Source organism: Homo sapiens, chromosome 12 (genome assembly GCF_000001405.40).
Source record: "Homo sapiens chromosome 12, GRCh38.p14 Primary Assembly".
Lineage (NCBI taxonomy): Eukaryota > Metazoa > Chordata > Mammalia > Primates > Hominidae > Homo > Homo sapiens.
The window spans coordinates 46,737,612-46,749,165 of NC_000012.12; positions in this window are offsets into that span (position 1 = coordinate 46,737,612).

Here is an 11,554-nt window from a genome sequence, read left to right on the forward strand (position 1 = left end):
GCAAGGTGTTTGAGCTCTGAGAATGGACAGACTGCCCCCTCAAGTGGGTCCCTGACCCCCATGTAGCCTAACTGGGAGACACCTCCCAGTAGAGGCCAACTGAAACTTCATACAGCCAGGTGCCCCTCTGAGATGAAGCTTCCAGAGGAAGGATCAGGCAGCAATATTTGCTGTCCTGCAATATTTGCTGTTCTGCAGCCTATGCTGGTGATACCCAGGCAAACAGGGTCTGGAGAGGACCTCCAGCAAACTCCAACAGAACTGGAGCTGAGGGACCTGACTGTTAGAAGGAAAACTAATGAACAGAAAGGAATTGCGTCAACATCAACAAAAAGGATATCCACACCAAAACCTCATCCGTAGGTCACCATCATCAAAGACCAAAGGTAGATAAAACCACAAAGATGGGGAGAAACCAGAGCAGAAAAGCTGAAAATTCTAAAAACCAGAGCACCCCTTCTCCTCCAAAGGATTGCAGCTCCTTGCCAGCAATGGAACAAAGCAGGATGGAGAATGACTTTGATGAGTTGACAGAAGTAGGCTTCAGAAAGTCGGTAATAACAAACTTCTCCGAGATAAAAGAGGATGTTCAAACCCATCATAAGGAAGCTGAAAACCTTGAAAAAAGATTAGATGAATGGCTAACTAGAATAAACACTGTAGAGAAGAACTTAAATGACCTGATGGAGCTGGAAACCATGGCACGAGAACTATGTGAAACATGTACAAGCTTCAGTAGCTGATTTGATCAAATGGAAGAAAGGGTATCAGTGATTGAAGGTCAAATTAATGAAATGAAGAGAAGTTTAGAGAAAAAAGAGTAAAAAGAAATGAACAAAGCCTCCAAGATATATAAGACTATGTGAAAAGACCAAATCTACGTCTGATTGGTGTACCTGAAAGTGATGGGGAGAATGGAACCAAGCTGGAAAATGCTCTTCAGGATATTATCCAGGAGAACGTCCCCAACTTAGCAAGGCAGGCCAACATTCAAAACCAGGAAATACAGAGAACATCACAAAGATACTCCTCGAGAACAGCAACCCCAAGACACATAATTATCAGATTCACCAAAGTTGAAATGAAGGAAAAAATGCTAAGGGCAGCCAGAGAGAAAGATTGGGTTAACCACAAACAGAAGCCCATCAGACTAACAGTGGATCTATTGGCAGAAACCCTACAAGCCAGAAGAGAGTGGGAGCCAATATTCAACATTCTTAAAGAAAAGAATTTTCAACCCAGAATTTCATCTCCAGCCAAATTAAGCTTCATGAGTGAAGAAGAAATAAAATTCTTTACAGACAAGCAAATGCTAAGAGATTTTGTCACCACCAGGCCTGCCTTACAAGAGCTCCTGAAGAAAGCACTAAACATGGAAAGAAACAACCGGTACCAGCCACTGCAAAAACATGCCAAATTGTACAGACCATTGATGCTAGGAAGAAACTGCATCAACAAATGGGCAAAATAACCAGCTAACATCATAATGACAGGATCAAATTCACACATAACAATCTTAACCTTAAATATAAATGGAAAGCCCTAATTAAAAGACACAGACTGGAAATTGGATAAAGAGTCAAGACCCATCAATGTGCTGTATTCAGGAGACCCATCTCACGTGCAGAGCCACACATAGGCTCAAAATAAAGGGATGGAGGAAGATCTACCAAGCAAATGGAAAACAAAAAAAAAGCAGGGTTTGCAATCCCAGTCTCTGATAAGACAGACCTTAAACCAACAAAGGTCAAAAGAGACAAAGAGGCCATTACATAATGGTAAAGGGATCAATTCAACAAGAAGAGCTAACTATCCTAAACATATATGCACCCAATACAGGAGCACTCAGATTCACAAAGCAAGTCCTTAGAGACCTAAAAAGAGACTTAGACTCCCACACAATAATAATGGGAGACTTTAACACCCAGCTATCAATATTAGACAGATCAACAAGACAGAAGGTTAACAAGGATATCCAGGACTTGAACTCAGCTCTGCACCAAGCTGACCTAATAGACATCTGCAGTACTCTCCACCCCAAATCAACAGAATATACATTCTTTTCAGCACCACATTGCACTTATTCCACAATTGACCACATAGTTGGAAGTAAAGCACTCCTCAGCAAATGTAACAGAACAGAAATCATAACAAACTGTCTCTCAGACCACAGTGCAATCAAATTAGAACTCAGGATTAAGACACTCACTCTAAACCACACAACTACATGGAAACTGAACAACCTGCTTCTGAATGATTACTGGGTAGACAATGAAATGAAGACAGAAATAAAAATGTTCTTTGAAACCAATGAGAATGAAGACACAACATACCAGAATCTCTGGGATACATTTAAAGCAGTGTGTAGAGGGAAATTTATAGCACTAAATGCCCCCAAGAGAAAGCAGGAAAGATCTAAAATTGACACCCTAATATCACAATTAAAAGAACTATAGAAGAAAGAGCAAACACATTCAAAAGCTACCAGAAGGCAAGAAATACCTAAGATCAGAGCAGAACTGAAGGAGATACAGATACAAAAAAACCCTTCAAAAAATCCATGAATCCAGGAGCTGTTTTTTTGAAAAGATCAACAAAATTGATAGACTGCTAGCAAGACTAATAAAGAAGAAAAGAGAGAAGAATCAAATAGATGCAATAAAAAATCATAAAAGGGATATGACCACCGATCGTACAGAAATACAAACTACCATCAGAAAATAATATAAACAACTCATTGCAAATAAACTAGAAAATCTAGAAGAAATGGATAAATTCCTGGACATATACACCCTCCCAAGTCTAAACCAGGAAGAAGTTGAATTGCTGAATAGACCCAAAACAGGCTCTGAAATTGAGGCAAGAATTAATAGCCTACCAACTAAAACAAAGTCCAGGACCAGATGGATTCACAGCCGAATTCTACCAGACGTACAAAGAGGAGCTGGTACCATTCCTTCTGAAACTACTCCAATCAATAGAAAAAGAGGGAATCCTCCCTAACTCATTTTATGAGGCCAGTATCATCCTGATACCAAAGCCTGGTAGAGATACAACAAAAAAAGAGAATTTTAGACCAATATCCCTGATGAACATCGATGTGAAAATCCTCAATAAAATATTGGCAAACCAAATCCAGCAGCACATCAAAAAGCTTATCCACCAAGATCAAGTTGTCTTCATCCCAGGGATGCAAGGCTGGTTCAACATACACAAATCAATAAACATAATACATAATACATAAACAGAACCAAAGATAAAAACCACATGATTATCAAAATAGATGCAGAACAGGCCTTTGGCAAAATTCAACAGCCCTTCAGGCTAAAAACTCTCTATAAACTAGGTATTGATGGAACGTATCTCAAAATAATAAGAGCTATTTATGACAAACCCACAGCCAGTATCATACTGAATGGGGAAAAACTGGAAGCATTCCCTTTGAAAACTGGCACAAGACAGGGATGCCCTCTCTCACCACTCCTATTCAACATAGTGTTGGAAGTTCTGGCCAGGACAATCAGGCAAGAGAAAGAAATAAAGGGCATTCAATTAGGAAAAGAGGAAGTCAAATTGTCCCTGTTTGCAGATGACATGATTCTATATTAGAAAACCCCATCATCTCAGCCCAAAATCTCCTTAAGCTGATAGGCAACTTCAGCAAAGTCTCAGGATACAAAATCAATGTACAAAAATCACAAGCATTCTTATACACCAATAACAGACAAACAGAGAGCCAAATCATGAGTGAACTCCCATTCACAATTGCTACAAAGAGAATAAAATACCTAGGAATCCAACTTACAAGGGATGTGAAGGACCTCTTCAAGGAGAACTACAAAACATTGCTCAACAAAATAAAAGAGGACACAAACAAATGGAAGAACATTCCCTGCTCATGGGTTGGAAGAATCAATATCGTTAAAATGGCCATACTGCCCAAGGTAATTTATAGATTCAATGCCATCCCCATCAAGCTACCAATGCCTTTCTTCACAGATTTGGAAAAAACTACTTTAAAGTTCATATGGAACCAAAAAAGAGCCTGCCTTGCCAAGACAATCCTAAGCCAAAAGAACAAAGCTGGAGGCATCACGCTACCTGACTTCAAACTATACTACAAGGCTACAGTAACCAAAACAGCATGGTACTGGTACCAAAACAGAGACATAGACCAATGGAACAGAACAGAGGCCTCAGAAATAACACCACACATCTACAACTATCTGATCGTTGACAAAGCTGACAAAAACAAGAAATGGGGAAAGGATTCCCTATTTAATAAATGGTGCTGGGAAAACTGGCTAGCCATATGTAGAAAGCTGAAACTGGATCCCTTCCTTACACCTTATACAAAAATTAATTCAAGATGGATTAAAGACTGAAATGTTAGACCTAAAACCATAAAAACCCTAGAAGAAAACCTAGGCAATACCATTCAGGACATAGGCATGGGCAAGGACTTCATGACTAAAACACCAAAAGCAATTGCAACAAAAGCCAAAATAGACAAATGGGATCTAATTAAACTAAAGAGCTTCTGCACAGTGAAAGAAACTACCATCAGAGTGAACAGGCAGCCTACAGAATGGGAGAAAATTTTTGCAATCTACCCATCTGACAAAGGGTTAATATCCAGAATCTACAAAGAACTTAAACAAATTTGCAAGACAAAAATCAAACAACCCCATCAAAAAGTGGGCAAAGAATATGAACAGACATTTTGAAAAGAATACATTTATGCAGCCAACAGACACATGAAAAAATGCTCATCATCACTGGTCATCAGAGAAATGCAAATCAAAACCGCAATGTGATGCCATCTCATACCAGTTAGAATGGCAATCATTAAAAATTCAGGAAACAACAGGTGCTGGAGAGGATGTGGAGAAATAGGAATGCTTTTACACTGTTGGTGGGAATGTAAACTAGTTCAACCATTGTGGAAGACAGAGTGGTGATGCCTCAAGGAATCTAGAACCAGAAATACCATTTGACCCAGCCATCCCATTATTGGGTATGTACTCAAAGGATTATAAATCATGCTACTATAAAGACACATGCACACGTATGTTTATTGCAGCACTATTCACAATAGCAAAGACTTGGAACCAACCCAAAAATCCATCAATGATTGACTGGATTAAGAAAATATGGCACATATACACCATGGAATACTATGCAGCCATAAAAAAGGATGAGTTCATGTCCTTTGAAGGGACATGGATGAAGCTGGAAACCATCATTCTGAGCAAACTATCACAAGGACAAAAAACCAAACACTGCATGTTCTCACTCATAGGTGGGAATTGAACAACGCGAACACCTGGACACAGGACGGAGAACATCACACACTGGGGCCTGTCGTGGGGTGGGGGGTTGGGGGAGGGATAGCATTAGGAGAAATACCTAATGTAAATGATGAGTTAATGGGTGCAGCAAACAAACATGGCACATGTATACCTATGTAACAAACCTGCACGTTGTGCACATGTATCCTAGAACTTAAAGTATGATAATAATTTAAAAAAAGAGAGACCAATTTCAAGTGTAATGACACCATAGGCTCAAAGTAAAGGGTTGGAGAAGGATCTATCATGCAAATGGAAAATAAAAAAGAGCAAGAGTCACTATTTTTATATCAAATAAAACAGATTTTAACCCCACAATAGTAAAAGGACAAAGAAGGACATTACATAATGATAAAGGTTGAAGCCTCATTCAACAAGAAGACTTAACTATACTAAATATATATGTACTCAACAATGGAGGACCCAGATTCATAAAACATGTTCCTCTAGACCTACAAAAAGACTTAGACCACCCAATAATACAATAACCACACAGTAATAGTAGAGACTTCAACACCTCATTGACAGTGTTAGATCATTGAGGCAGAAAACTAACAAAGAAATTCTGGATTTAAATTTGACACTTGAACAATTGGACCTAATACACCTCCATAGAATACTTCATCAACCACAGAATACACATTTTTCTCATCTGCATACAGAACATTCTCTAGGATTGACCACATGCTTGGCCATAAAGTGAGTCTCAATAAATTTAAAACAATCAAAATCATACCAACCATATTCCTAGACCACAGTGGAATAAAAATAGAAACTAATTTCAAGCAGATCTCTCAAAACCACTTGATTATATGGAAATTAAACAACTTGCTCCTAAATGACTTTTGGATAAACAATGAAATTAAGGCAGAAATTTAAAAAAATTTTGAAGTAAATGAAAACAGAGACACAGCATACCAAAGTCTATGGGATGCAGCAAAAATAGTGTTAAGAGGAAAGTTTATATTGCTAAATGCCTACATCAAAAAGTTAGAAAGATCTCAAATTAAGAATCTGTCATCACACCTAGAGGAGTGAAAGAAACAAGAACAAACAAACCCCAAAGCTAGAAGAAAAAAAGAAATAACTACAATCAGAATAGAATTGAATGACATTGAGACACTGCAAATCTAGAGACTCAATAAAACCAACAGTTGGTGTTTTGAAAGGATACATAAGATTGATAGACCACTAGCCAGATTAACAAAGAAAAAAGAGGTTAGATCCAAATAACCACAATCAGAAACGAAAAAGGTGAAACAGAATACATAAGATCCTCAGAGCTTTTTATGAACACCTCTACACACACCAACTAGAAAATGTAGAGGTAATGGATAAATTCCTGGAAACACACAACCTCCCAAGACTGAATCAGGAAGAAGTTGAAACTCTGAACAGACCAATAGCAAGTTCTGAAATCGAATCAGTCATAAAAGCATACCAAACCAAAAAAGCCCCAGACCAGATGGATTCACAGCCAAATTCTACCAGATGTACAAAGAAGAGCTGAATTAATTCCGCTGAAAATATTCCAAAAAGTCAACAAGGAAGGACTCCTTCCTGACTCATTCTATGAAGCCAGAACCACCCTGCTACCAAAACCCAACAAAGACACAACAAAAAAGAAAACCACAGGCCGATATCCCTTATGAACATAAATGCAAAAATCCTCAACAAAATGCTAGCAAACTGAATCTGGCAACACATCAATAAGGTAATTGACCATAATCAAGAAGGCTTCATTCCTGGGATGCAAGGTTGGTTCAGCATACATATATCAATAAATGGGATTCACCACACAAACAGAATTAAAAACAGAAACCATATAATTATCTCAATTTATGTACAAAAATCTTTTGATAAAATCCAACATCCCCTTATGATAAAAACCTCAACAAACTAGGCATCAAAGATACATACTTCAAAATGATAAGGGCTACCTATGACAAACCCAAACCCAACATCATACTGAACAGGCAGAAACTGGAAGTATACCCCTGAGAATAAGGATGGCCACTCTCACCACTCCTATTCAACATAATATTGAAAGTCCTAGCCAGAGCAATTAGGCAAGAGAAAGAAATAAAAGACATCCAAATAGGAAAAGAAGAAGTCAAATTATCTCTCTTCACTGATGATATAATTCTATACCTGGAAATCCCTGAAGACTCAGCCAAAAGGCTCCTAGAACTGATAAATGACTTCAGCAAAGTTTTAGGATACAAAAATAAATGTACAAAAATCAATAGCATTTCTATATACCAATAAAATTCAAGCTGAGAGCCAAATCAAGAAACACAATCCAATTGACAATAAAATAAAACACATAGAAATACACACACAAAAATACAATACCTAGAAATACATCTAACCAAGGAGGTGAAAGAGCTCTATGAGAACTACATATGAAACACTGCTGAAAGAAATAATGAATGACGCATACAAATAGAAAAACATTTCATGCTCATGGATCAGAAGAATCAATATTGTTAAAATGACTATACTGCCCAGAGCAATCTACAGATTCAACATGATTCCTATCAAACTACCAACATGATTTTTCACAGATTAGAAAAAATTGAAGTCATATGAAACTAAAGAATAGCCTGATTAACCAAAGCAATCCTAAGCAAAAAGAACAAAGCTGAAGTCATCACATTACCTGGCTTCAAACTATACTACAAGGCTGCAATAACCATAATAGCCTGGTACTGGTGCAAAAACAGAAACACAGACCAATAGACAGAATAGAGGACCCAGAAGTAAGCTACATGCCTATAACTATCTGATCTTTGACAAACTGACAAAAATAAGCAGTGGATAAGGGACTCCTTGTTTAATAAATGGTGCAGAGACAGGTGGCTAGGCATATGCAGAAGAATAAAACTGGACACCTACCTCTCACCATATATACCAATTAACTCAAGAAGGATTAAATATTTAAACCTAAGACCTCACCTGTTAGAACCCTAAAAGAAAACCTAGGAAATACCATTGTGGACATCAACCTTCTAAAAGAATTTATGGCTAAGTACCCAAAAGCAATTGCAACAAAACCAAAAATTGACAAGTAAGACCTAATTAAACTAAACAGCTTCTGCACACCAAAATAAACTGTCAACAGAGTAAAGCCAACTTACAGAATGGGAAAAAATATTCACAAACCATGTATCTGACAAAGGTCTAATATCCAGAATCTGTAAGGAACTTTAACAATTCAAAAAGCAAAAACCAAATAACACTATTAAAAGAAATGAGCAAAAGAAATGATTGGACACTTCTCAAAAGAAGACATGCATGTGCCCAACAAACATATTTAAAAATATATAAAAATCGGCCGGGCCCGGCAGATCACGCCTGTAATCCCAGCACTTTGGGGAGGCCGAGGTGGGCAGAATGCATGAGGCCAGAAATTCGAGACCAGCCTAGCCAACTCGGCAAAACCCCATCTCTACTAACAATACAAAAATTAGCTGGCATGGTGGCAGGTGCCTGTAATCCCAGCTACTCAGGAGGCTGAGGCAGGAGAATCACTTGAACCCAGGAGGCAGAGGTTGCAGTGAGCCGAGATCCCGCCATTGTACTCCAGCCTGGGCAAAAGCGCAAGACTCCTTCTCAAAAAAAAAAATCGCTAATCATCAGAGAAATGTAAATAAAACCCACAATGACCTGTCATCTTAATGGCCATCAGTCAGAATGGCTATTATTAAAAATTCAAAAAATAGCAGATGCTGGTGAGGCTGCAGAGAAAAGGGAATGCTTATACGTTGTTGGTGTGAATGTAAATTAGTTCAGCCACTGTGAACAGTAGTTTGGAGATTTCTCAAAGAATTTAAAGCAGAACTACCATTTGACCCAGTAATCCCCTTACTGGGTATATACCTGAAGAAAAATAAATAATTCTACCAAAAAGACACTTGCATTCATATGTTCCTTGCAGTACTATTCACAAGAGTAAGGACATGGAGTCAGCCTAGGTGCTCATCAACAGTGGATTGGATAAAGAAAATGTGCCTATGCACACAAACTAGAAAACCTAGAAGAGATGGATAAATTCCTGGACACATACAGCCTCCCAAGACTGAATCAGGAAGAAATTCATTTCCTGAAGAGACCAATAATGAGCTCTGAAATTGAATCAGTAATAAATAGCCTACCAACCAAAATAAGTGCCCAGGACCGGATGGATTCACAGCCAAATTCCACCAGATGTACAAAAAAGAGCTTGTCCCATTCCTACTGAAACTATTCCAAAAAAATTGAGGAGGAGGCACTCCCCCACAACTCATTCTATGAGGCCAGGATTATCCTGATACAAAAATGGAGTGGGGAGGGATAGCATTAGGAGATATACCTAATGTTAAATGACGAGTTAATGGGTGCAGCACACCAACATGGCACATGTATACATATGTAACTAACCTGCACGTTGTGCACATGTACCCTAAAACTTAAAGTATAATAATAAAAAAAAACCTGGCAGAGGCAATAAAAAAAAGAAAATTTTAGGCCAATATCCCAGATTAACTTTGATGCAAAAATCTTCAACAAAATACCTGAATCAAAATACCACAATCAACTAGGCTTCATCCCCAGGATGCAATGTTGGTTCAACATATGCAAATCAGTAAAAGTGATTCATCACATAAAAAGAACTAAAGACAAAAAAAACATGATTTTCTCAATAGATGCAGAAAAGTCTTCTGATAAAATTCAACATTCCTTCATGTTAAAAACTCTCAATAAACTAGGTATTGAAGGAACATACCTCAAAACAAATCCACAGCCAACATCATACTGAATGAACAAAAGATGAAAGCATTCCCCTTGAAAACCAGCACAAGACGAGGTTGCCCTCTCTCACTACTCCTATTCAACATAGTGTTGGAAGTCCTTGCCAGAGCAATCAGGCAAGAGAAAAATAAAGGGCATCCAAATAGGAAGAGAGGAAGTCAAACTATTCCTGTCTACAGATGACATGATTCTATACTAGAAAACCCCATAGTCTCAGTCCAAAAGCTCCTTCAGCTGACAAACAACTTCAGCAAAGTTTCAGAATACAAAATCAATGTACAAAAATAACCGGCATTTCTATACACCAACAATAGCCAAGGTGAGAGCCAAATCAGGAAGGCAATCCCATTCACAATTGCCACAACAGAAGTAAAATACCTAGGAATATAGCTAACCAAGGAGGATCTGTACAATGAAAATTACAAAACACTGCTCAAAAAGTCAGAGATGACACAAACAAATGGAAAAACATTCCATGCTTGTGGATAGGAAGAATCAATATCATGAAAATGGCTATAGTGCCCAAAGCAATTTTCTATTTTGTTATTCCTATCAAACTACCAATGACATTCTTCACCTAACCAGAAAAAAAGCTATTTTAAAATTCATGTAGAACCAAAAATGAGTCTGAATACCCAAGGCAATCCTAAGCAAAAAAGAACAAAGCTGGAGGCATCATGTTATCCAACTTCAAACTATGCTATAAGGCTATAGTAACAAAAATGCATGGTACTGGTACAAAAACAGGCACATAAACCAATGGAATAGAATAGAGAACCCATAAATAAGGCTGCATGCCTACAACCATCTGCTCTTCAACAATGCTGACAAAAAAAAGCAATGGGGAAAAGATTCCCTATTCAATAAATGGTCCTGGGATCACTGGCTAGCCACGTGCAGAAGATTGAAACCAGACCTTTCCCTTACATCACATAGAAAAAATAACTCAGAATGGATTAAAGACTTAAACATAAAGCCCAAAACTATAAAAGCCCTTGAAGATAACCTAGGCAACACCATCCTGGACATAGGAATGGGCAATGATTTCATGACAGAGATGCCAACAGATATAGCAACAAGAGCAAAAATGGACAAGTGGGCTCTAATTAAACTTAAGAACATCAGTACAGCAAAAGAAACTGTCAACAGAGTAAATAGACAACCTATAGATGGGAGAAGATATTTACAAACTATGCATCTGACAAAAGTCTAATATACAGCATCTGTAAGGAACTTAAACAAATGTACAAGAGAAAAACAACCACATTCAAAAGTGGGCAAAGGAAATGAACAGACACTTCTCAAAAGAAGACATACATGTGGCCAAGTATATGAAAAAAAGCTCATTATCATTGATCATTAGAGAAATGCACATCAAAACCATCTCACACCAGTCAGAATGGCTACTA